Source organism: Homo sapiens, chromosome 1, assembly GCF_000001405.40.
Source record: "Homo sapiens chromosome 1, GRCh38.p14 Primary Assembly".
NCBI classification, from domain to species: domain Eukaryota; kingdom Metazoa; phylum Chordata; class Mammalia; order Primates; family Hominidae; genus Homo; species Homo sapiens.
In genome coordinates this window covers 230408723-230435992 of record NC_000001.11, presented here as the reverse complement: position 1 = coordinate 230435992, position 27270 = coordinate 230408723, and the positions used below count along the sequence as shown (strand labels likewise).

Here is a 27270-nt window from a genome sequence, read left to right as displayed (position 1 = left end):
AGATGAAGGCAGAGGCAGACACACTGGAGTGGAGTTGTTGGGGGGAGTCTGAATTGGTCTTCTTCTGCTAAACGAAGGTTCCTTAGAAAGAGTCCTGTCACCCAGAGAAGGAGGCATCCCACTGGTCCGGAGTGGGCAGGAATCTAAGAGCAGAACTCTCCAAATTGTGGATTGGGGGTGGGCTCTCCTGGGAAATGCTTGGCCAGTAGGGAGCACTGCCTTCTCCATTCTACAAATGTCGTAGGCTCCCTCCCACCTGATAGCTTTCTGCCCACTTGTCATTCTTCCCCTTAAACAGGGTTCTCAGGAAAAGGCCTGACCCATGCATCCAAACTGCAGAAATTCTGCAAATGGCATGCTGCATTGACCCATGCCCAGAGCTGTTGATTATTATGAGGGCGCAAGTAACCTTAAGAGAAATTAATACATTTGGAGCACCAGCAAAATGACTCCAAGAGTAACGTAAGGGCTAGCTATCATTATTGGACCAGAAATATTTCTGGGAGTTGCTCTTAACATCCCCCCTTCATTCTTCCTTCTCATCTGCAAGTGAATGCTGTGATGTTTAGGTTTCCTGAAAGAAACATGGTTGACAGTAAACTGTGTGTGACCGCTGCAGCTTAATTCATCCCTGAACAACAATTAATATTGATGGTTTGAAGGATGGATAGTTTCTTGGGCAGAGGAAAAAGCTGAAGCAGAACATATGAGTCAGCCCTTCCATCCTGGGTATAAATTATTAAAGCCAGCAGTTACTCCTCATGCACAGCCACTGTGATTTAGAGATTGCTGATAGTCCCTAAGTAGGAGTGGGATAGGGAGCAGGTGACAGTCAAAAAACTATAGGTAGCCTCCATTAAGAGCTCAGTTTGGAACTGGACTGCCTATGTTCTTTTCTTTTCTCTTCCTTTTCTGTGACAGGATCTCTTCAGTTGCCCATTCTGGAGAGCAATGGCACAATCAGAGCTCACTGCAGCCTCGACCTCCTGGACTCAATTGATCCTCCTACCTTGGTCTTCCAAAGCGCTGGTATTACACAGGCTTGAGCCACTTTGCCTGATCTGAGTTCTAATTCTGACTGCATTGTCTACTAGTTGAACAACACTGGAAAATTGACTTCACCTCTCTTAAGTGTTGTCATCTACAAAATGAGGGTCACGAGCATACTGATCTTGTAGGGTTTGTTGTGAGGGTTAAACCAGATACTCTATGTAAATCATTGAGCACAGTTTCTGGTATACATAAAGCATACATAAAACTTTACTTTTTTTTGTTTTTTTTTAGACACTAGGTCCCACTATGTTGTCTGGGCTGGTTTTGAACCCCTGGCCTCAAGGGATCTTCCTGCGTTGGCCTCCCAAAGCCCTGGGATTACAGGCACAAGCCACTGCCTCTGACTAAAGATGATTATTATGTTTATGGACTTCCATTTGTTAGCCTTCAGTAAAGAACCAAATGTTGTTTCTAAAAAATACCCACTACTGGCCGGGCGCAGTGGCTCATGCCTGTAATCCCAGCACTTTGGGGGGCAGAGGCAGGTGAATCACCTGAGGTCAGGAGTTCGAGACCAGCCTGGCCAACTTGGTGAAACCCTGTCTCTATTAAACATACACACACAGACACACACACACACACACACACACACACACTAGCCGGGCATGGTGGCTCATGCCTGTAATCCCAGTTACTCGGGAGGCTGAGGCAGGAGAATCGCTTGAACCTGGGAGGCAGAGTTTGCAGTGAGCTGAGATCACGCCACTGCACTCCAGCCTGGGCAACAGAGCTAGACTCTGTCTCAAAAACAAAAAACAAAACAAAAAACAACCAACCAACCAAACAAACAAACAAACAAAAACAACCCAGTGTTGACCTTAAGTTGCACTTGTGCCATCCGTGAGGTTGTGAATTCAGGAGTGCTATGAAAGGCTCCCAGCTAGGAGTATCCCTCTCCGCTTCTTAGAATACCTGGGATCCTACTGCTAAGCACTTTGTTCATTTGTGTTAAGCACCAACCTGCAATTTCTCCTTTACAGGCAAATGCACTTCAGGGGTGGTACTTGTATCAGAGCCCTTCATTTCGTTGGGGAACAAGTAGAGTGGGGGTTGGGTGTGTTTAAAGTGGGAAGATGTAGCCAAGGGGACAGGGAAGAGACACAAGACAAACTTACAAAACTGGGAAAGGGGCTTTGGAATCAGCAGTGGCTCACTAAATTATCCCATTATCTAAGAATAGGAAGATCTATAATATTTTCCAAAATGTTTTTTTTCTTCACTCTAAATGTCTCATGATGTTTGCTTGTTGAAAAAAAATTAATTTCAAACCCTGGGAAAAAAAGGTAGGTTGAAACATTAATCAGAGTTATTTGTGCTGCTTCGCAGGTGTCTAGCTGCCTTAAATTACTTTGTGAAAATGTTAATTATCTAAACAACTTAAAATAGAAAAAAAAATCTCATGATAAGAAGCCATTTATCTATCTCCCAACTACTTCCTTTTTTTTTTTTTTTCTTTTGAGACAGGGACTGGGTCTGTCACCCATGCTAGAAGGCTGGAGTGTAGTCGTGAAATCATGGCTCACTGCAATCTCTGTTTCTTGGGTTCGAGCCATCCTCCCACCTCAGACCCCTGAGTAGATGGGACTACAGGCATGCATCACCACGCCTGGCTAATTTTTGTTTGTTTGTTTGTTTTTTGGTAGAGATGAGGTTTCACCATGTTGCCCAGGCTGGTCTTGAATTCCTTGGCTCAAGCAATCTGCCCATCTCGGCCTCCCAAAGTGCTAGGACTATAGGCATGAGCCACTGTACCCACCTCCATTTAATGTACTTTAATTCTTTCCCCCAAGTCCTCACTTGCTTCCTTTGCTGGCACAGATTCCATGCCCATCATTAGGATCAATCTCTCAAACTCTCCCACTCCGCCATACATATGTGTCAAAACCCCACTTTGGCAAAACCCAATCCATTGTCAACCCTGTTTCTGAGCCTGACAACTGAATGCAGTTAGAGAGAAACATAACGATGGTGGCCCATTTCAGGTTAAATTCTCAACCACAAATCCAGATTGTTTCTCTCTAGTCCATTGATCCTTGAACTCTCCTAGATAGCTATTTTGACTATTCCACACATTCTTTCCTCAAACTCCTAGCCCAGGGATCCTCAGTTCTGGCTGCACTGTTGAGTCACCCAGAAACCTTATAACACACCAGTGCCCAGGTCCCACCTCCAGAGAATCTAATTTACTTGGTGTGCTCTGGTGCAGTGGCTCATGCCTATAATCCCAGCACTCTGGGAGTCTGAGGCGGGTAGATCACCTGAGGTCAGGAGTTTGAGACCAGCCTGGCCAACATGGTAAAACCCTGTCTCTACTAAAAATACAAAAATTAGCCAGGTGTGGTGGTAGGCTTCTGCAATCCCAGCTACTTGGGAGGCTGAGGCAGGAGAATCGCTTGAACCCGGGAGATGGAGTTTGCAGTGAACCGAGATCGTGCCTTTGCACTCCAGCCTGGGTGACAGAGTGAAACGCTGTCTCAAAAATAATAGTAATAATAATAATTTACTTGGTGTGGATCAGGGCCCTGGATATGTGTTTTTGAAACTCCCCAGGTGATCCTAATGTACAGCCAAGAACGGAAGCTAAACTCCTCGCCCTCCCTTCATCAGGCAGAGCTCATGACCTGACTTCCCACTTCACTGAGAACATCAAATCAGTAAGGAAAGAACACCACAGCAGACTTCCACTAAATCTAGGAATGTGCCTGCACGAAGTCTTTACTTCACTGCCTTCTGCAATAAGACAAACCTTCTACTTGTGCATTCCAACTCGCCACCATTCAAGCAATCAAGGATTTTGCTTTGGCAACTGTTCCCTTTCTCTCCAGCATCTCTCCCATATCCTTTCTATTGAAACATTCCCACAATCATTCAAACATCTGATTTTTTTTTAAATCCCTCCCTCAACTCCTTAGTCCTGTTTGGCACCTCCCCTTTCTTCCTCCCTTTTCAGCAAAACTCCTCAAACTTTATATTGACTCAATACCCCCATTTCTTCTCCCATTCTCAGATCCACTCCAATCATAGTTTTGTCTGCTCACTGACAAACCCAGAAGTTAATTCTCAGTCCTCTTCTTATATCTCTTAGCAGCATTTGACAGTTATTTGAAAGTATTCCTCCTTGAAATACTTTCTTAGCCACCAGGACTTTACTTTGTCTCAATTCTCCAGCCTTCTCAGTCTCCTTGAGTGATTCATCTGCCTCATGTTTAGAAATCATGTGCTCTGGGAATCCCCCTCACACCCATTTCCTCCATATTTATGCTCCATCCACGGTGGTTTCATCCAAGATGTATCTACTGCCAGGTGCAGTGGCTCAGGCTTGTAATCCCAGCACTTTGGGAGGCCGAGATGGGCAGATCATTTGAGGTCAGGAGTTTGAGATCAGCCTGGCCAACATGGTGAAACCCCGTCTTACTAAAAATACAAAAATTAGCCCGGCGTGGTGGCAGGTGCCTGTAATCCCAGCTACTTGGGAGGCTGAGGCAGGAAAGTTGCTTGAGCCTGGGAGGCAGAGGTTGCAGTGAGCCCAGATCAAGCCACTGCACTCCAGCCTGGGTGACAGAATGAGACTGTCTCAAAACAACAACAACAACAACAACAAAGCAAACAAGATGTATCTACTATCTATCTGCTGATGGCACTCACAATCTTACCTCCAGCCTAGACCTGGATGAACTCCAGATTCCTGTTTTCAACTACCTGCTTTCCAGACCCACTCAGATATGTTAAACTCTACAGCTGAAAACCAAGCTATTGTTCCTCCCTTTCAATCCTGCTGCTCTTGCAGTAGCCCATGCAAACAACAAGAGCAAAGCCAAAACCATGGAGTCCTTCTCAACTCATCTCTTTCTCTCACTGTCCACATTTAATTCTTTCATAAAAGTTGTGGGTTCTACCTTCAAGACATATTCTGATCTGACCAATTCTCATCACTTCCATCACTCCCAGTCTGGTCCCAAATACCCTCTTTTATGGCCTGGACTATCGCAATAGTATCTGAACTGGTCTTCCTGATTCCACTTTTCCTCTGCTCCAATCTATTTCCCTCTAAGCAGCTAAAGAGAGGCCCTTAAAATGCAAGCCAGATCTTATTTGTCTGCTCTATGCTCTCCAGTGGCTCCCAATTTTACCCAAAATAAACTACAAAGTATTGCAAGATTTAACACCCAACTCTTCGATTTCATCTGCTACCACTTCCTCTCATCTCTGTCTCAACCACATCTGCCTCCTCATTGCTGACTGACCACAGCTAGTGTGCTCCTGCTTTGGGTGCTTTGCACTTGTTTCTCATCCTTGAATGCACATGGCTTGCTTCTTTAATCCATTGAAGGTTCTGCCCAAATGTCACCTTATCAGAGCAACTTCTCCCAACCAATTTATACAAGCTTGTGCACACACACACACACACACTCCACCACAATCACAACCACCATCAGTCTCTGTCCCTCTACTTTTTATCTCTTATCAACAACAGGTATATACATATTTACTGGGTTGTTTATTTTTTGTCTCTTCTCTCCCCACCCCCCGCCACCATTTCAATGTAAGTGCTATAAAAACAGGGTCTTCGTTCTTTTTCTCTGATTTATTTCCAGTGCCTAGAAGAGAGCCTGGCACATAATAGGACTCAATACATATTTGTTGAATTAGTGAGTGAATGAATGAATCAATCAATCAATGAAAAAGTCAGATCATCTCAATCTGAACACAAGGGAATTTTCTCGAGAGTTTTCCAGAGGATTGTCCTATTTCCTTCTTTCTGCCTCTCTGTGTTGGCTCCTAGATAAATTTACCACATAAAAGCACTGTGAGAGAGGTTGGACCCTTAGGTCCCTGCATTAGATATGACCCCAAATGTCACCCTGTGCCACGCATATTCTCCTCCGACCTCCTCCCCAACATGCGGGCCACTGTCCAGCAGCTGCACTCTTTCTCCCCCTACCCTCTCGCAGCCCCAGGAGCTTCTCCTTGGCTGTAGCCCCCTCCTTTTGGGTGATGAAGGCAACATGGGGAGAAGCAGCAGCTTCACTGACACCATCCCTGCCGTCTCCATCCAGAGTGACCAGCAACACGCAGACTTCTCAAGCCTCATCTGGCCTGTGCAGTCTGGAGCTGGCCAGGGCACTCTCTGCCACATTAGCATTCATGTTCATTTCTGTGTCCTGCCACAGCTTGACTATTTGCAAAATCAAGACTTGTAAAACTGCCGAGGAAAAATATATATACTGTATTCGATGGCTTCTAAGATGCCCACTTCCTTTTTTTCATATTTCACATCACTAACATCAGGAATGTCTTATAATTGGTGCTGGGCAAGTGAAAATCCCTGTGCAGTTAACAGAGTCTGAGTCTATGCCAACTTCATTGCTATTCCTAGGACATGCCTGACCTCATATACCCCTTGGTGTGCCAGGCCACAGGCCTGCTGAGAACCACTGGAAGAAGGAAATTGAATCTAGTTATTGTATGAAAACCTTGGATTAGGTAAAACAAAACAAAACAAAACAAAACAAACAAAACATCAGCATCAAGATCTTATTTCTCTGCTCTATGCTCTCCAGTGCCTCCCCATATCACTCCAAATAAAATCTGAAGTCTTGCAAGATTTAACACCCACCCAACTTCCTCTTTGATTTCATCTGCTACCACTTCTCTCTCAGCTCTGTCATCTGCCTCCTCAGTGCTGGCTGACCACAGCTAGCATGCTCCTGCTTGGGGGACACATAGAGTGGGAGGCCAGTAGCTTGGATGAGTTAGGAGCACTTGTGTAAGAAATGCAGCATACCAAATGCTCTGAGTGACTTGGAGGAGCATATTCTGGAGAAAACCTGGGCATTGACAGCTCTGAGTTAGAAAGTAAACAAGGATAGTGAGATTCTGAATGTGAAATTCGGAAAACTTTAATCAATTAATTTATATTTTATCTGTATGCATGCAATAGAGTGATACGTAATAAAAATCTGTCCAAAAATTATGATCAAATAGCTTTTTCAATAAGTTTAAATTATAATTAGAACAGAAAAGGAACCATTGTATCATAGTTTCCTATGGCAGCACTTTTTTCTTTTTTAGTGATACATAAAACAATGGTTCACTGTACCATGAAAGGAGGTTTAGACTTAATGAAATATGGTGCTTAGCCCTAGTTACATAAAAGCATGAACCATTGGTTTAACAAAACCTAAGGAATCTACTACACAAATGAATTGCTTTTTACTACCTTGAGCTGTTTGGGAAAACCATAAAACCAAAAGCTCAATATTAATCTAAAATTATTTAATTATATTTTATAATTAAATTATTTGGAAGATGTTTTCAAATGACTCAAAGTTAAAAGATCTCAGTGTGATATATATTCTATAATTACTCTCAGAAATGATGTTACTAATAAAAGTTAATGATGTAGAATCATAATCGTCATTATCAAATAGGAGGATGCCAGCCAGAGGAGAAAGCTTTTGTTTTGCAATTGTTTTGTCCCCTCACTCCTTCTCTTACCACAGTGAGAAGCAGTCATCTGTTTTCAAAGGTTGGAATGTTTTTACTTTTCTTGTTTGGAAACTGGCTTAAACAAATGTAAGTGCTATAAAATACTTCACTCTAAGTTGAAATATTCATCTAATTTTTATTGGACAAGCTTTGAAGTAACAATTTGACTTCTCAGTGTTTCTTTTGTGTCCATATAATCCTCTCCTCAGTGTTGCATGTGGTGTGAGCTACAAGCATTTGTGAGCCTAGGAAGCACAAGGCCCCAAGGTTTCCTGGGAATTAGCACCATACAAATGCAAATTAGGGACACCGGAAGACTCTGTCCATCCTTGCCACTGCTGTTGTTTTGTTCCTTGGTTCCTTATGGGTAGCAAAGCAATTCATCGTTTTTAAAACACGTACCTTAGCTGTTGACTTTTTCATTGGCTAGCTGGAGAAGAAAAGAAGGAACTCTTTCCTACAGATTTTAACTCTCTGAATCCCATTCAATTATTTTTTCCATTCAACTATTTAAAATAGATAACATGAAATCTTGCAGGAGCCTCACACAATTCCTAATTGCAGAATTTGAACTTGAGCTATGGAGTCTTACTCTTCTTCTTGCATCTTCAACCTATGCTTTACTATCACCCTTTTTGATAAGTCAGATTACCTGTACTCTCTTCAACAACTTTCAGCTGGTTAGCACAGTATATAGGTATGTTGGAAACCAGATATTTTCCGTGGCATAATTCTTCCAAGAGAGTAAAAATGCTTTGCAAGCACTTCCTCATTTTTCAGCCAATCCACATAGCAAGGAAAGTTCCATGAATCTTTTCCTTTTTATATATTGTCTGTTAGTGATGATCATGAACCTATGCCTGTGCAGAGCCCCTGATGTGGAAGGAGGAACCACAGGGGCTGGGGAGGGGAGGGCATGAGTGAAGGTTCCTGCTCGACACTAGAAGTGACCCCACTTGGCGGCAAAATGGTCCTTCATCCTTTATGCATTCGTAGAAATCGCAACATGCCTTTCTGTTTCATGTAACTACAATTTAGTTAATGCTCAGTAGGATTTGTAAGCCCTTCACATCTCTGAGGATTTATTTTATTTCAGAGTGAAAGTGACTTTATGGCCCATTTACCATTAGTGTGACTTATTGCATTATTCGAAGGAGGAGGAGGGGAGCAAGAAGACAAGGCAGTCTCCGTTACGCGTATCGCCATCAACAGGATGACCACCACACATTCCTGCCCAAGGAAGAGGGGCGGATGCAACCTTTCTGTGCTATTGTTTATGAGAGCACTGAAGCCTGGGTGATCATGCAATATTTCAGTACATGAGTGTTTCAAGTGTGTGTGTGAAGGAGATATTAAAATAGAGGTGTGAGAGTAATTAGTATTTGGAAGTAATGGATATTTTGAGTTCAAAAGATGCCACACGTCAACGATGATGAGGAATGACTAGCTACTTAACTCCAGTGCTGGCACCCTTAAATTACAGGGATACTGAAGCGAGACGGAGTTAGCATCTGACCAGCGACCAACAGTGGACCGGCGAGGCGGGCTCCTAATTAGAGCGAGATTCCCAGAAGCTGGACAGCCCCTGTATTTATGGGAGCATGCGGCGCAGCTGGCAGTGACCCCCAGGAAACCTCGGCAGCAGCCGCCGCCGCGGGTGTGGTGACCTCGGGCCCGCCGCCTACCTGGAGCGTTTCGGCGGCGCCTGGTTCAGAACCACCGGGGCGGACAGCTCCCTGGAGCTGCACGCGGACTGCGGAAGGGGACAGTGAGCGGGATCGGCCCGCACTCCGTCCGCGGGCCCGGACCGCTGGAAGCACCCGGGTCCCCCTCCCCTCCTGTTCCCCGGTCCCGCCCTCCCCCTCCCGCGCTGCGCGTGGCGGTCCCGGGCTGCGCGTCCCTGTAGGAGGAGACCGGCACTGCCGCCGGCGGCCCTCCCCCTAACCGCCAGCCCCGGCCGCGCGCCCCGCCCCGCCCCGCGGAGGAGGGTGGGGGCGTTCCCCGCGCCGGGCCCGCCCAGCTCCCCCGCGGCTGTCCGGGCCGGGCTCCCCATTGGCCGGCGGGCGGGAGGTGAGGGGCGGCAGGGCCCGCCTCTGGCGGCTCGCGCCCGGGAAGGTCGGCAGCCGAGCGCCGGAGGCCGTGGAGAGGGCGGGCAGGGAGGCGGCGGGCGCCGAGGAGACGCAGCGGCGGCGGTGGTGGCGGTGGTGGCGGCGGTGGCGGCGGCGGCGCCTGGTCTCGGCCGCAGCCTCTGCGTCCCGCCCGCTCTGGGTCGCCCCTGCCAGCCCCGCGCGCGGCTCGCCTCCCGCCGCGGCCCGCAGCCTGCGGCGCCCGAGCTCCGAGGGCGCTTCCCCGGGCGCTGGGCCCGAGGCGGCCAAGACGGCGGGCCGGCCGGGCACGGGGCGGCGGGCGCTGTGCTGCGGGCTGCGCTGGTGGGGGGCGGCGGGCCGCGGCGCGGGCCCAGGGCCCGGCGTGTGCGGCTGGGAGGCACTGTGGGGGCGGGCGCGCGGGCGGCGGCCGGGGCCATGGCCGAGGGCGGCGGGGGCGCGCGGAGGAGGGCGCCGGCGCTGCTCGAGGCTGCCCGCGCGCGCTACGAGAGCCTGCACATCTCGGACGACGTGTTCGGCGAGTCCGGCCCGGACAGCGGCGGGAACCCCTTCTACAGCACCTCGGCCGCCTCGCGCTCCTCCTCGGCCGCCTCCTCGGACGACGAGCGCGAGCCCCCGGGACCCCCAGGGGCCGCCCCGCCACCGCCCCGCGCCCCGGACGCACAGGAGCCGGAGGAGGACGAGGCCGGCGCGGGCTGGAGCGCAGCGCTGCGGGACCGCCCGCCCCCGCGCTTCGAGGATACCGGCGGTAAGGGGCTGCCCGCGGGTGGATGTCGGGGGCGGCGCTGGAACCGGGCGCGGGGGAGGCGTGGGTGCTGGGGCGGGCGAGTCCAGACTCTCCGTGGGCTGGCTTGTGGGTGTCTCTCCGGAAACAAATGAGGCTGCAGGAGCGGTGATCGGTCTGACTGCTCCTGGGGGCTCCGAACCCGTGGGTGGAGAGGGTAAGGCGGAGGCCGTGGCCAGCACTTTTCCAGTGACAATGTCGTCGGGGACCTTTTCCTTCACTTCCTGGGAGCACCCCAGCCCCTGCATGGGAAGTCTGTCACACCTGTGGGTCGGACTTTTAGGGGTGGATTGAAGTTAGGCTTTCCTAGTTGAGGGGGCTTTTCTGAAAGCCCGGCGTGGCTGGTGGAGGCAGGGGGAGTCGTTTTTTCACTGACAGCCCAAGAGCAAGCCTTACAGCAGGTGACGCGGGCGAGGCAGGTAGGAGTTGGCCCAGTGAGAGTTGAGAGAGAGGCCACCCGCGGCGTCTTGACTTGGCTTAGTTTTCTCCTTAATCTGAGAAACTTTCCCTGTCCGCGCCATTCCAGATCTCTTGTTAAGAATGGGGAGGAGTGAAGGAAGGGACCGATTGGGCAGCGTTAAGGTGCTTGCTTTTCCGCCAGAAGGTACTTTCAGGTGTGTCCTGCTTACCACTGTGGCCACAGACAAGCCCCGAATACCTGGAGAAGGTGGCTAGGGTGCTGGCAGCTGCGGCTGCCCCACTCCTCTTCACTGTCTGTTTTTGTGGGAGTTGGCTGTTGAAATATCACCACTTCCTCTGCAGAAGCTCCGCAGCCTCTGCCTTCTTTGAAAGCTGCAGACCAGCCGCCCTCTCATGCTGGTATTTCTTGTTCCACGGCCTTCTGTAGCAGGCCCGTGCTCCTGCATGCTGTGTTCTTCCGTAGAAGTGCGCGCAACCGGTGTTGATGAGGGCCAGGGAGTGGCCGCGGTGGGCATGATGCGGCTTTTCCTGTGGCCTTCTCTGATTATTGTTCAACCGGTCAGGAACACGGCACATGGGAAGGCAGGCCCAAGGGACCTCCAGCTGGTGCCTGGACTTGGATCTGGGCATCATGCTGCAGCCTGCTGGGAGGCCGGTAGGGTTAGCTGGACTCTGAGTAGGGAGTGGTCTGCAGACCTCTGGCAGGCTGCGGTGTGGATGCGCGGAGCTAAAGCTGGGCTTGCAAAGTCACAGTTAGCTGTGCACTGCTTTGGGGGTGGGTACATTTTAAAGCATGTGCATTTGGGCTGTAGTTAAGAGCTTGGGAATTTTCAAAATCATTGACTCTCTATAGTCCTTTTATACTGTCCTATATTTTCCAGGATGTCATTAAGGTCTCCTGGCCCTAGACAGCTGTTTTCCTATTGGCTCTTTAAGAATTGTACCAGTCCACAGACCTGGTTTGGCAGACTTTATGCCGTGAGCATCTGTGATGTAATTTCGATCCTGGAACATTTGAGATCCAGGTCCACCTGGGACTGCACAGCAAGTCTCTGCGTGTCTCAGGGCGAAATAGAGAACTTGTGCTAGGTCAAGCCTAGTTATGAAAAAGAATCCTGAATGTGCTGATGTGAGAAGGGTGAGCACACAAATAAATTTTAAATCCATCTTATATTTCTTAGTAACCTTGAAATGGGAGAAATTCTGCAGCAGAGCCATTTAATCCAGCCACCGCAGCACTTACGGTCATGAAGAGCAGGATCGTGTGTCATTTAGCGTTAGGTTCAAATTCTGCTTCCTGCAGATGCCCACTGAGTTCACACCTGGACCGAAGAATCAGGTCCTTTAACCAAAGACATTAGTGGTTATTGCCGGTATTTTTACCCAGTTTTGTTTTCCTGCCCTGTGTGGGAGCTTGCCTTTTAACTCCACATCTGATTTAGAATTTCCTCTTTGCAAATTTCTCCCTGAGGGAAATTTGGAGTGGTGGAGAATGGAGGGATGAGGTTGATGGCTTGTTAAACTTGAATTCAGTTTCTCCAAAACAATGGAATATGATTTATGGGGGCTGAAAATAGATGCAGAAGTGTGGGTTTGGTCAGAGAAAATCCTTGCGCCTACCAGTGTGGAGGGAGATGGATGTGTTTATTAAGAGGCTGAGAGCTGCATCCTGGCCACTTGGGGAGCAAAGAGGATCAGCCTGCTAGGGTTTACCAGAGCACAGTATCTAAAACGCTACGACAAGCGTGCGCTCCCCACTTGCAAAGAATGCAGCCTGGATCTCTCTTCCATCTTTGTTCCCTGTTTATTAACAAATCTCACTGCATGGGTAGAGTGGGGTAGGGAGGAAAGTAAGCAGGTGGCATTTTGATCTCTAATCAGGCTTTATAATGGAAAATTTATAATTCAAATTGCTCTTGCTGCTGGAATCAGATGAGGAAAGCACAGAATCGAGATTTGATAGAGGCTTCCTGCCTTGCTGCAACTGTAAAAACAGGTATATGTGTATGTACATAAATGTGTTTTATGGAAATGTGCGGGTATGTAAATGTGTGTATGTAACTGGGTATTGTATGCAAATGTGTATTGCTTGTGCTAGGTTTTTGGTTTTTTTTTTTTTAATCAGAAAGATAACTCTGATGACCTAGAAACCTTTGCAGAGTCGCTGTGCATGAGGGAGGTAGACACTGGGGACCATTATGAGTTGTAGTCGGAGTTGCCACATCCCCCCACCCCCACCATAAGGGAGTGCACACAGTAGGGAGATACTTGGTGCCCAGCTGGGAGAGGGAGGAAGCAGTGCTAGTTCCCGTGCCAGCCCTAAAAGCAACATTTCTGTAGTTAAGGTGGGAAATCCTCGCCATTCTTCAGGCTGTTCTTGTCTTCCCAGCCCTTTCCTTCTGTTTTTCAGCGTATTTAGCTTCCTAGATCAGCTCCTCCGGAAGTGCGGCCAGTAGTTATGGGTGGAGAGGGCCCTTGCCCACTCTTCTGTCTCCTCTCTCACCTCCCCTAGGTTCTGGCTGTGCATTGAGGTGTGGATTCCCTCGGGATGACTTAAATGCACACGCTATGCTTGTCGGGCTAGCTGTTGGGCTCTTAACCCCTGTGGAGATGCATGATCTGCCTGGGAGCTGAAATGCCTACTGGGAGTGCAGAGCCTAGGACCCTCTCTTAACCAGACTTGCAGCATATATCCCCCCAAAATAGCCCCCTCAAGCTGTCAGCCTGCCTGCCCACTGTGCAAATAACCAACACAGCATGTGAGCTCACTCTTTGGAAACAGAATGAAATTCAGGCCCGGCTGCTTTTTGAGCCTCTGCCCTTTTGGTTTCTTATTCTGAGCAGTCTTGTGATTCGTTTCTCGGAGGAGGCAGAGGAACAGACAGATTTCACAGATGCTCAAGGGCTCTCGTCTGTTTGGTTTGTCAGTCCTTTGTCATGGCTGGCTGGGATCTGAGCTGTTCACTCTTTCTATTAGAGGTTAGACTTCATAGAAGAGAGAGAGAGAGGGAAAAATATATATATATATTTGTGTGTGTGTATGTGTGTGTTTTCCCCCCATTTACCATCTCAGCAACCCTCTAATCATTCAGTGGGGAGGTATGACCTTGAGCAGCTGGAGAGAAACATATAGCATTGGAAATTAACATTGTTGAATGTTTTATCTTTACAGTTTGTTGTTGGTTTAAAGCCTTTTTAATAAAAAGAAAAATCTTTCTCTCAAAACCAGAATTAAACTGAGACCCTTGGCTCTAAAGGGGTTTGTGAACTCAGAGACCTGGAACCCTGTCTATGGTGTTAAGTATAAGAAGCTGCTCCTACCTTTAGCTCTGTACAGGATTCTGTGGCTCCAGGAGGAACTTTGAAGCTTGGTGAGCTGCAAGATAATCTTAGGCAAAGCTACATAGTAATCAAGTGCAAGACTGTGTGTCATCTTGCAGTGGCTGCACAGAATTCAGAGAAGGGAGCTTCCTGGGAGAGCTGTTTTGCTCTTTTCCCAGGAGTCTGTTCATGTAGGGGGTGAAACTGGAGCTGCTACTGCTAACCCTCAGTTCTCATTTGTCACTTGCATTTTCATGCATTATTATCAAACTCAGTCTTCACAAGGACTCTGTGGCCGAGAAGTTGCCACTGCCATGTGACTGGGGAAGGAAGTTGCTGCCTTCACTTTCCCGGGGGTGATGAGATTACCAGATTAAGTGATCACCATCTAACTAGTCAGACTCAATAATTCAGGAAATGTAGTGCCTTTTTTTTCTTTTACTAGAACCTTTTTCAGTAAAAAATATTTATTTTTATGGTTATACATGAATTGCTTTTAGTTTTGGGGGGAAGCGGATACAGTTCTGTGAGTTTTAACTCATGATTTGTGTAATCGATACCACAAACAGGATACAGAAGAGTAGAATCTTGCCAGGGTGTTGGTGGTATAGTGGTTGGCGTAGCTGCCTTCCAGAAGAGGAGAATCTGGATTTTTCTCTAGCTCCCTGTTTAATCCTTGCTGTCCCGAGTTGTCCTAATGAGTACTCAGAGCTGTTTTTCAGGAGGTGGGGCTTTGCATACACTGGAACAGGTGGTGAGGTCTAACCTAGTTTTAGAGTCCAAAACTCACTTTGTAGACTTCTTTTTAGAGGCACGGTCTCACTATGTGCCCAGGGTGGACTCAAACTCCTGGGCCCAAGTGATCCTCCCGCTTCAGCTTCCTGAGTAGCTGGGACTGAAGGTGCATTCCACCATACCTTGCTCACGCCTTTGTTTTTAAGGACTGTGATTGTATGTTTTTTTCTTATTAACAGGTTACATATATTCATTTTAGAAAATAAATAAGAAAAAGGATAAAAATTGTATTACTCCATTTTCATGCTGCTGATAAAGACATACCCAAGACTGGGCAATTTATAAAAGAAAGAGGTTTATTGGACTTATAGTTCCACATGGCTGGGGAGGCCTCACAATCATGGTGGAAGGCAAGAAGGAGCAAGTCACATCTTACATGGATGGCTGCAGGCAAAGAGAGAGAATTTGCCAGCAGGGGAAATGCCAGATGCTTATAAAGCCATCAGATCTTGGTTCACTCACTGTCACGAGAACAGCATGGGGGGAACTGCCCCCATGATTCAGTTATCTCCACCTGGCCCCGCCCTTGACACATGGGGATTATTACAATTCAAGGTGAGATTTGGGTGGGGACATAGAGCCAAACCACATCAAAAATTGTAAAAATCAAATTACCTTCCTTTTCCCAGAGATAACCACAGTTGACATACAGAATATGTGCTTCATGTATCTTACATTACATTTTGTTGAGGGACCTGATTTTTAATTGTTATTAATATATTATGAACATTTTCCATTTAAATTTTAAAAAGATGTTTTCACTGAATCTATAATACTCTAGGGTTCCCTTTTGTTAGGATTGAGTTTATTGCCCCACTTCTCTCTCCCCTTTGTTTGCTGTTAAATTAGTGCTGTGGTGAACATAGTTGAGGCCTAAGTTTGTTTTTTTGTTTGTTTTTGAGGTGGAGTTTTGCTCATTTTGCCCAGGCTGGAGTGCAATGGCACAATCTTGGTGCACTGCAACCTTTGCCTCCTGGGTTCAAGTGATTCTCCTGCCTCAGCCTCCTGAGTAGCTGGGATTACAGGCACGCACCACCACGCCTGGCTAATTTTTGTATTTTTAGTAGGGATGGGGTTTCGCCATGTTGTCCAGGCTGGTCTTGAACTCCTTACCTCAGGTGATCCACCTGCCTTGGCCTCCCAAAGTGCCGAGATTACAGGTGTGAGCAACCACGCCTGGCCTGAAGCTTAAGCTTACATATACATCCTCAATTTACTCCTTAGCATCAAATGATAAAGCAATATTGAGGTAAGGATTTTGCGTATTTTAAAGGGTTTTGATATCTGTTGTGAAAGAGTCTTCCAGAAATGTACCTTTTTATGCCTTTGCCAGCAGTACCCCAGAGAGTCCATTAGAACATCCTGCTTACAAGGCAGCAAACCGGTATGCGATGCCCACCAGTAAGAGTAAGATGGCTCTTAGAGGAGTATTTTGTTTTATTTTATTTTGTATTTACTTTTCACCTTTTATTTTAGACTCAGGGGATACATGTCCAGGTTTGTTATAAAGGTATATTGTGTGATGCTGAGGTTTGGAGTCTGATTGAGCCCATCACCCTGTGGTGAGCAGAGTACCTAATGGGTAGTTTTTCTCACCTTGCTCCCCTCCCTCCCTCCTTTAGGAGTCCCCAGTATCTATTTTTGCCATCTTCATGTCCATGTGTACCCAATGTTTAACTCCCATTTCTAAGTGACAACATGCAGTGTTTGGTTTTCTATTCCTGCATTAGTTCACTTAGGATAATGACCTCCAGCTGCATCCATGTCACTGCAGAGGACGTGATTTCCTTCTTTTTTATAACTGCGTGGTGTTCCATGGTGTATGTGCACCATATTTTCTTTATCCAGTCCACCATTGATGGGCACCTGGGTTGATTCTGTGTCTTTGCTATTGTCAATAGCACTGTAATGAACATATGGGTGCATGTGTCTTTTTGGTAGAACAATTTGTTTTCCTTTGGGTATATACCCAGTAATGGGATGGCTGGGTCAAATTGTTCACTTTCAGTTCTTTGAGAAATCTCCAAAGTTCTCTGCACAGTGGCTGCACTAATTTACATTCCCACCAACAGTGGAATGATTAAGTGTTCTAGAGGATTACTTTATATAATGAAGCTTATGTGTGTCATAGCACACATAGATTGCATGAGACATTCGTGCACAGCACAGTGCATTCTTACATGGGTATACCTGTGTCACTACCACCCAGATCAAGGTAAAGAGTGTTCCTAGTTCCAGATGCAGTGGCTCATGCCTAGCCTGTAATCTCAGCCACTTGGGAGCTGACGTGGGAGAATTGTTTGAGACCAAGAGTTCGAGACCATCTTGGGAAACACAAAGAGAGCCCACCTTTCCTAAAAAATATTCTAAAAAATTAGCCAAGCGTGGTGGTGAATGCCTGTAGTCCCAGCTACACTAAAGGCTGAGGTGGGTGAGGCTGCAGTGAGCTGTGTTTGTACCACTGCACTCCAGACTGTGGTACAAGCTGACAGAGTGAGACCCCATCTCGAAAAGAAAAAAGAAAAACATTCTTAGCATCCTGAAGATTCCTACCTGCCCCTTTCCCATCAGTACCTCCCTGTCCCCAGAGGTAGCCATTATTCTGAGTTCATCACCAATACTTAATTGTTTTACCTGTAAGATTCATCCATATCGCATAGAGCAGTCCTATCTTTATATTGCAGTGTAGTATGCCACTGTACAACTGTACTACAGTTTATTTACCTGGTGTCCTATCGGTAGACTTTTGGTTTGTTTCCAAACCCGAAAGTTGCTACAAACGTTCTTGTACATGTTTTCTTGATGTTTGTATACATCACTTCCTTGGGCCATGTATACCTAGGAGTGGGATTGCTAGGCCATGGATTCATTGTATATTTACCCTTAGTACAAGGTCTTTCAACTTGGGCCAGATAATTCTTTGCTGGTGGGGGGCTGTCCTGAGCACTGCAGGACGTTCAGCAGCATCCCAGGCCTCTACCCACTGAATGTTACTGGCACCCCTCCTCCCCAGTTGTAGCAAACAGACATGTCTCCAGACATTGCCAAATGTCCCCTGGGGGGGCAAAAGCACCAGGTATTGAGAACCACTACTTTAGGAAGTGCTGCCAAGCAGTTTTCCAATTTACACTCCCACCAGCAATGGATGAGATGTGCCTCCTATTAATTCAGCCAGCACATTGAGCCCTGCTGGGATAAAACGAGAAGTTAGACATGTCCCCTGGGGTTCAATAGGAGAGACAGAGTGAAGGAAAAGAGATAAGTGTCTCTGGTGAATGCTGTGATCAGGGAAAACATGGATTTCTATGGGATTCCAGAGGTGCCTCACTTCCTCCAGCTGGGTTGGAGAAGAGGCGGCATTTCTGGAGGAGGTGGCCCCTGAGCTGCACCTTGAAGAACAAATAACTAGTCAGGTGAAGAGGAAGGAAAAGTGTCTCAAACAAGAGAGCCATTTGAGCAAAGGGGAGAGAAGGCGTGCCATTTTGCCCGTGGGCAGTCGCACTGGCCCCTAAACTGAGCTTCCTTACTTGAGACTTTCTTAGTGAAAATATCTTAAAATTTAACACCTATAATTATTACTATTGCAAGTAACTGTAGCTAGAATCCAAACTCCAGGTTCAGGCATGGATGTAGATTTACGTAGCAAACCCTGGATCCCACAGGGAGGGGGATTTGCCAAGCATGTTGAGAAATGAGTACTTAGGGCAGAATCCATGGAGAAGCACCGGGGTCCTTCCTTTAAGGAAGGAGGAGGGAAAATGACAGCAGAAGGGAATGGGATAAGACCTTTATTGGTGAGAGGAAATACAACATGATCTTGGGGGTGGGAGAATACTGGAATCCCTGAAATATCTGACTATGGAGAAGGAATGCTTGCCTATTCTCCCACAGGGTATAAAGAACTTTCCTTCCCCTCATTTGTGAGTTGCAGGAAGAATTATTACAAAAGAATGAAAAACCGGCCACATTTAGGCATATATTTAAGAAGTTACTTTCATGAAAAAGTTTAGAACTACAAATCCTTCCACTTCTTATATCATTGCCATTGCTGCCAACCGTAGCCAAGACAGCATCACCCCTTGGCCAGGCTGGTGGGGCTTTCATCCGCTTGGATTCTCAGCCTCCACCTTTGTTGACTGCCCCTGCCCCGGTTTCAGTTTCCCCAGGCTGTGCTGGAAAAGTGATGTTTTACAAACACAAGTTCATATACTCACTTCTCTGCTTAAACTCCTCCAGTAACTTCCCATCCAAACCGAAGGGAAATCCAGATTCCTTAGCATGGCCTCCGGGTCTCTAGGTCCACCCTGGTCTTCCTCTCTATTGTCACCTTGTAGCACGCGTCCTACCATTGTCTCTGGCCATGTGATCTTCTGTCTGCCAGGCCCTTGCCCGGAATGTTCTTCCTGACTTTCGAACGGCAGCCCTTGCCTGCTGGCCTGGTCTTGTTTCCAGTGTCACTGTCTTTACCCATCTAAAATCACTACCTTCCCTCTGGTCTCTCCTAGCACTCACTGCCACCTGCATAAGCTAATTTATTTATCATGTGTGGAGACCTTGGACATTCTGGTCACAGTATATGGTAAAAATGTGGCAGGTGCTCAGTTTTTTTTGAATGCTTGAATGAACAAAGGAATAGATGGACGCAGAAGTAGATTTTTAAGTGGGTACGGGATTCGGTGCCGGTAAAAAATGTTCACAAGCTGAGCATTTCCAACATCCAAAATAGTGGAAGAGTTAATGGGGCAGCTCCACAAAGGAGTGAGTTTCTTACCCCAGAGACACCAATGCCACCAAATATGAGGATTTCTGTCCTGGTTGGAAGACCAAACTTGATGGCTACTGGGGAATTTAATACAGTCTTGAGCTTCTACAACCTGCTCACTTCCTGGTGGCCCAGAGACACCCAAGATAGGCAGGAATCTATGAGGAATTTACAGGGAAGCCAGCTGCTTGCACCCCTTTATTCATTTAACAAATGCTTGTATATCACTTACTATATGCAGATGCTTTTCTAAGCACTTTCTAACTTATGTAATCCTCACAACCATCCTGTCAAGTGAATACTGTCATTATCCCTATTTTTAAAATGAGGAAGTGGAGCTACAGAGTGCTCAAGAGTAGACTGGTCCCTTTGATTAAGGGACTAGGAAGAATCATATTAGAGCAATGAGTGTGGAACATGGTATATGTGGGTCAGATCAACTAATTTATAACAAGTCCCTTGCAAAGGGCTCTGAACCAAAGATGATCATTGCATAGCAAACCTGTCTTCCCCCATTGCCTTGTATTCTGGGAAATGGCTGCACCTCTTGGAGTGAGATGGGACTGCTGCCTGGTTTCTGAACAGTGCAACGTAAGCAGACGTTCTCACTGAGGTCTGTCATCTGCCTGCCCATGGGGGAAGAGAGACCCACATGGGCAGATGACAGGCCTCACTGGGAAGTGGTCACTGCACTCATCTCTGCCAGGCAGCAGACAGGAAGCCAGTAGATAAATTCAATTTTGATGTTTCAAAGCCTCCAGCAAGCTTCCCTGGCAAAAGCAACTGCAAATGGAATCTGTCACCTTAGGAGTAACCAGATAGGGAAGAAGGAGAGACCTATTTTCTCAAGTTTGAGAAACAGGGTTACAAAGAGAATATAAAGGATCAGGATACAGGGAGATTTTTCTGGGAGGAAAGACTGTCAACAAGTGGAATCACCCAGAGTGGTTAGTGGGCATCTTTCTTATTTGAGCACTTTTTTTTTTTTTTAGACAGAGTCTCGTTCTGTCACCCAGGCTGGAGTGTACTGGTGTGATCACAGCTCACTGCAGCCTTGAACTCCTGGGCTCAAGCAGTCCTCCCACCTCAGTCTAAGACTGCAGTCTCAGCGGAGACTACAGATAGGCGCCACCATGCCCACCTAATTCTTTTTAATTTTTTTGTAAAGACAAGGTCTCACTATGTTGCCTAAGCTGGTCTGAAACTCCTGGCTCAAGCCATCCTTCCACCTCTGCCTCCCAAAGTGCTAGGATTGCATGCATGAGCCACTGCACCTGGCTTATTTGAGCACTTTATGCGTTTGGGGAAGGTGACATCTTCCACCAGTGCCATCTTAAATAAGTGTTCCCAGGAATTCCACTGCTGAGTTTGTGGGTGTGGATCACATGAAGACGTGAGGTTCTGTGAGTAGACATTCACTTCAGAATGCACATGTAAAGCAGTCTTCATCTCCTTCCTTATCTGACGTAATGACATTTGCTTCCTTCAGGTCCCAGCATCGAAGGTGAATACAAATGTCCTATTTGGTTTGCTCTTTAGTGCTGATATTTCAGCTGAATTGCCTGTGTGTTTTCCTTGGCTGCATTTTCTTAGGCGAGCTGGGGTGTTGGAGCACAGCCTGTGGCATCTTAGGGGGATGTGCATTCAGAGTGCCAGTGGAGACCTGGAACAGAACCTCATTGGAAATTGAGACAACAGTTGTTTTTCTTTAAGATCGAAAGAGGTAAATTACAGGTAAATAATAGCAAGGGTAAACTCACACCTTGTATTATAAATGTATAGACTCGGTCTCTTCCAGAAGTGTAGCAGAGAAGAAATACAAACATTCTGAAAAAGATTAGGTAAATTTAGGAAGAAGGCAAATGACACTGGGGAAATTGGAATAGTTGAGAGAGTGCAGCCCCCATTTCTGAAGGTAGTGTGTGGGATGCTTTGGTGGGAAGGAGGGAAGATCCGCGGCTGTCTTTGGTTCTGCCTGTCAGAAAGGCATTGCGATGTGCACAGAGCTTTGGAGACACACAGACACTGGTCCCAGCTCTGCCTCTAGATTGTCATCTCCCAGAGGGGTGACTCCAGGCACCAGATGGGATTATATAGGGTCCTACACAGGAGACATTCAGCCAAGTACCCTTTGTACTGTCTCTGGTGGGCTCCTAAGAGTGATCCAATGTTCGTAATCCCAAACGACTAACCTAAGTCACATGCACCTTGGGGTGTGCCAGCGTTCCTTCACCCCATCAATTTATCAGCTGCAGAGGTAGAAATTTTAACATGAAACGGAAGTAGAACAGCCCTGAGAAGTTTTTGAGTGTAGGCTTCATATCTTCTTTCAAATACATTTCATACATTTGGCAGATATTTATAGAGTGCCTACTCTGCACCAGGCACTATGTTAAAAACTGGGGATTGATAAGAAGCAGAGGTTCTAGCCCTCAAACAGCATAACTCCTGGTGGTGAAGACAAACGGCCGATCCACAGATAGTTGTGATGCAGCGTAAGAGGTGCTGACACGAGCAGGTTGTCCTAGGTCCTAAGGGAACACCCAGCAGGAGACAGCGTGAAGGCATCTTTAGAGCCACAGAAAACATGATAGATGCAGATGGTACCAAGGGAAACCAAAGGATGACATGAAGTTTCATGCAGTATATTTTTTTAATGATTTAAAAAATCTCCATTGCATTTGCTTTTTTATACCTGCTCTCAATCATAATCTTGTCTGTTTTTGCACATCCTCCCTCTCTTCCCCTCCCCGCCCTTTTATGAGATGGGGGTCTGTGCTCTGTTGCCCAGGCTGGAGTGCGATGATGCGATCACGGCTCACTGCAGCCCCTACTTCCCAGGCCCAAGCAATCCTCCCACCCCAGCCTCCTGAGTAGCTGGGACTACAGGTGTGTGCCACCATACCTAATTTTTTGCTCGAAATTCTGCTCCCTAACAGCTCCAGAATATCTCCCTCTGAGACAGAATAGGGAGGTTGGCAAGCTGGGAGTCTGGTTCCGGGTGGGAGTGTGGATGGCTGTGCCTGAGTTCTGAGCGGCATGCCACCAGTAGTCTGATTCATATTTCCATTAGGGAGTGCAACTGAAGGTAATATTTACCACAAAGCACAGTAAGTCCTCACTTAACATCATCAGTAGGTTCTTCTGCAACTTTAAGCAAAACAATGTACCGCAGGCCCTTGAATAATGTCTTTTTGTTATAATGTTGATGAGAAAAAATACTGGTTTTCTTACATTATTTTGCTTAAAGTCACAATTTCCAAGAACCTGTTAATGACTTACTGTATGTTACCCTGAAACTTGGACTGGGAAGGCAGGTGGTGGTTGTGGATTTAAAAACAAAAGGAGGACTTTTTATTAGTCGTTGTGATATTGCATGCAATCTTTAAAAAAATTATGCATGCGAAAATATATACAGTTGACTCTTGAACAACACAGGTTTGCACTGGGTGGGTCCACTTATACACAGATTTTCTTCCACCTCCACCCCTGAGACAGCAAGACCAACCACTCCTCTTCCTCCTCCTCCTCCTCAGCCTACTCAGTGAAGATGATGAGGATAAAGACTTTAGGATGGGCCGGGCGCGGTGGCTCATGCCTGTAATCCCAGCACTTTGGGAGGCCGAGGAGGGTGGATCATGAGGTCAGGAGATTGAGACCATCCTGGCTAACATGGTGAAACCCCATCTCTATTAAAAATACAAAAAATTAGCCAGGTGTGGTGGTGGGTGCCTGTAGTCCCAGCTACTCGGGAGGCTGAGGCAGGAGAATGGTGTGAACCCAGAAGGTGGAGCCTGCAGTGAGCCAAGATCACGCCATTGCACTCCAGCCTGGGCAACAGAGCGAGACTCTGTCTCAAAAAAAAAAAAAAAAAAAGACTTTAGGATGATCCATTTCCCCTTAATGAATAGAAAATATGTTTTTTCTGCCTTATGATTTTCTTAATATCACTCAACAGTAGGCTATTAGTAGTTGAGTTTTGGGGAAGTTGAAAATTATACATAGATTTTCAACTGGGTTGGGGTCAACCCCTTAACCCCTGCATTGTTCAAGGGCCAACTGTAATTTCGTTGATAAGCATTAATATAATATTATACATGGTTCTTGACTGGAGTCCTTTTTCTGACCCTTTTCCCTTTTTTGTTGGAATTTCCCTCCCTTCTCCTTCTCTATCTCTGTCCACATAACCCATGTAGAAAACTTGGTGCTCATACATGAACACATTTTTGCATACATGTACATGTGTAGGGTTTTTCTTTTTGGGGGGAGAGTTCATTGTTTAACAAATACGGGTTTGTTTTATATACCTTTTGTCAAGCTCTTCTCATGAATATCTTCTATTTTACTTCATTTTTAAAAACTTTTATTAAATGCCTTTTTAGCATTTGTTGCTATTATTCCTATGATTCTGTAGTCTTTTCCATAATTAATTTGTTGACGAAGTGAATTTTATTGATTTCCTGGTACTGAGGTACCCTTATGTTCCTGGGATAAACCCAGGTTGGTCTCAGTATGTAGTTCTCTTTGATACACAGCTGAATTATGTTATTTGCTAATATTAGTTCAGAGTTTCTGTAACAAATCAATCATAAGCCAGATTTGTTAATAATTTCTCATCTCTCAAGTTTGGGAATTAAAATTATGCTTGGCTTCATAAATGAATTGGTTTATTATTTCTTAATTGCCTTTTGCCATTTAATAGTAGAATCACGGGTTAGATAAAACTCAGCTGTGAACCTGTCTGGTCATGGTGACTTTTTCTGATTTTTTCCACTTACTGAATCAGTTTGATGATTTATATTTAGGAAATCATTTGTTTATTCTAAGGCTTTCAAATTTGTTGACATGAAGTTCCATGCAGTATATATTTTTAATGATTTAAAAAATTTCTACTGCGTTTGCTTTTTTATACCTGCTCTCAATCATAATCTTGTCTGTTTTTGCACATCCTCCCTCACTTCCCCTCTCCGCCCTTTTTTGAGATGGGGGTCTGTGCTCTGTTGCCCAGGCTGGAGTGCGATGGCACGATCATGGCACACTGCAGCCTTTACTTCCCAGGCCCAAGCAATCCTCCCACCCCAGCCTCCTGAGTAGCTGGGACTACAGGCGTGTGCCACCATACCTGACTAATTTTTTTTTTCCTTAATTTTTTGTAGACAGGGTCTTGCTATGTTGCCTAGGCTGGTCTTGAGCTCCTGGGCACAAACAGTCTTCCCACTTCAGCCTCCCAAAGTGCTGGGATTACAGATAGTGTGAGCCACTGTACCTGGCCTCTCTCCCTTTTCCTTTACTCTTCCCCTACCTTTCCCCTCACCACCCCCACCACACTCACCTTTTCTTTATCTTATGCTTAATTGGGCATTTGAGGGGTTTTTCTATTTTATTGGTCTCTTCAGAGAGCCAGCTTTGGGCTTACGTGTCCTTTTTTATTTTTTATTAGTTTGAACTTTTATCTTTTTTGTAAAATCTTCCTTTTGAAGTAGAAGCTGTCCTTTTCTAATTGCTTAAGATTAGTGCAAAGTTCCTTTTTATTTGTAAAATACCTTCATTAATATTGAAGGCATTTGACACTAAAGTCTCCTCAGAGTAAATCTTCTGGAGTGTTCTATAAATTTTGATATGAAGTGTTCTCTTTTCCCTTGCTTTCAAGATATCCTCCAGTTCCCCTTTTGATTTCTTCTTTGATCTAAGAATATGTTTCTTAATTTCTAAGTAGTTAAGATTTTTTGGTTACCTGATTATTTAATCCTCATTTTATTGGATTGTGATCAACGAAGTATCCTTTAAATTTTTAATTTTAAAGGTTTGCAAAGGTTTTCTTTGTTGCCAAATATGCAGTTAATCTTTAAAAATGTGGCATAGGTGTAAGAAAAAATATATATTCTTATTTGAGGGAAGTAAGGGTATCTGTTGATCTATTTCTCTTCTTCATGTCTTTATTATTTTCTCTCTGGGAAATATTCTCATTTGAGAAATAACTTTTTGTCATGTTCTTGAATTTTAAGAATTTTTAGTTGCTGTATTATTTGGTGCACACATACGTCTACCTTTTATATTTCTTCCAAAACCATGCATTTAGTAATACCACTCTATCCATCAGTGCCTTTAAGCTCAAGTCCAGCTTGTCTGCTGTTAATTTTGCCATCCCTGCCTTCTTCTTTGCATTTGCCTGGTATCTCCTTGTTTTGTGTATTATTTTCAACCCTATTTGTCCTTTTAGGTATGTCTCTTGAACAGCATAAATTTATATATATTTTTAACACAACCTTATAGGCCCTTTAGTTGGATAAATCAATATGTACACATTTAAAGTAATAACAAACAGGCTTGATTTTATTTCTTCCACCTTATTTTATTGATTCAGCTTTTTTTCTCATTTCCCCATTTTTGATATTTTGATCAAGTTGTTTATCCTTTTTTTTTTACTTGATAATATGGAAGTTCTTCACTTTCCATTTTTTTAGTAACAGCTTTATTATAAAATAATTCAGCCATTTAGTGTGTACAATTCAGTGGCTTTTAGTATATTCACAGTTGGTGAAACTATTTCCATCACCCCATAAAGAAACTTTAGCCATCTAAATTACCATTAATCTCCTTTCTGTCTCTTTAGCTTTGCCTATTCTAGACATTTCATATACATGGAATCATAATATGTGGACTTTTGTGACTGGCTTCTTTCAGTTAGTGTAATGTTTTCAAGCTTCATCCATGTTGTCACATGTCTCAGTATTTCAGTCCTTTTTCTTGTTGAATAATATTCCATTGAGTGTATATACCACATTTTATTTATTCATCAGTTGAACATTTGGGTTGTTTTCACCTATTGGCTATTATGAATAATGGCAAAACCTTTATGTACAGGTTTTCGTGTGGACATGGTTTTCATTTTTCTTGGGTATATACCCAGGAGTGGAGTTGCTGGGTCATCTGATAACTCTGTATTCAACGTTTTGAGAAACTACCAGGCTGTTTTCCAAAGTGACTGTACCATTTTACAATCCCAGTGGCAGTGTATGAAGGTTCCAGTTTCTTCATATTCTTGTCAGCACTTGTTAATGCCTGTTGTTTTGATTCCAGCCTTCCTGGTAGGTGTGAAGTGGAAGCTCATTGAGGTTTTGACTTGTGTTTCCTGAATGACTCATGATGTTGAGCATCTTCTCATATGCCAACTGTCCATTTGCATATCCCATTTGGAGAACTGTCTATCAAAGTCTTTTGCCCATTTTTAAATTGAGTCATTTGTCTTTTTATTGAGTTGTAAGAGTTCTTTATATATTCCGAATATTCCTTATATAGTCTTATCAGATATATGACTTCCAAGTTTTTTCTTCCATTTAGTGGGTTGTCTTTTCACTCTCTTCATGATGTCCTTGGAAGCACAAAAGTTGTACATTTTGTGACATCCCATGTATCTATTTTTCTCTGGTTGCTTGTTTTTGGTGTCCTAGCTAAGAAACCACTGACAAGTTTGAAATCACTGAGATTTAACCCTATGCTTTCTTCTAAGAGCTTGATCATTTTATGCTTGCATTTACATC

General features: G+C 45.3%; 1 protein-coding gene across 1 annotated transcript in view, besides 4 other annotated features; it reads left to right on the top strand.

Annotated features, from left to right (window-relative positions):
* Nucleotides 8492-9038: an enhancer, noted in NCBI's record as "NANOG-H3K4me1 hESC enhancer chr1:230562701-230563247 (GRCh37/hg19 assembly coordinates)". NCBI's record gives its function as "activates a minimal SCP1, AML or CMV promoter by ChIP-STARR-seq in primed H9 embryonic stem cells {active_cell/tissue: H9 hESC(primed)}" and the evidence as "EXISTENCE:reporter gene assay evidence [ECO:0000049][PMID:30033119]".
* Nucleotides 9039-9586: an enhancer, noted in NCBI's record as "H3K4me1 hESC enhancer chr1:230562153-230562700 (GRCh37/hg19 assembly coordinates)". NCBI's record gives its function as "activates a minimal SCP1, AML or CMV promoter by ChIP-STARR-seq in naive H9 embryonic stem cells {active_cell/tissue: H9 hESC(naive)}" and the evidence as "EXISTENCE:reporter gene assay evidence [ECO:0000049][PMID:30033119]".
* Nucleotides 9039-9714: a biological region, named in NCBI's record as "H3K4me1 hESC enhancer GRCh37_chr1:230562153-230562700".
* Nucleotides 9395-9714: a silencer, noted in NCBI's record as "silent region_1940". NCBI's record gives its function as "represses an Ori minimal core promoter by ATAC-STARR-seq in GM12878 lymphoblastoid cells {active_cell/tissue: GM12878}" and the evidence as "EXISTENCE:reporter gene assay evidence [ECO:0000049][PMID:35858748]".
* PGBD5 (piggyBac transposable element derived 5) overlaps nt 9661-27270 on the top strand; it is a 111843-nt gene continuing 94233 nt past the window's right edge. Inside the window, exon 1 of the mRNA NM_001258311.2 lies at nt 9661-10395. Coding sequence (NP_001245240.1) covers nt 10065-10395 — 331 coding nt within the window. The 5' untranslated portion in view covers nt 9661-10064. The remainder of the gene's footprint in view (nt 10396-27270) is intronic.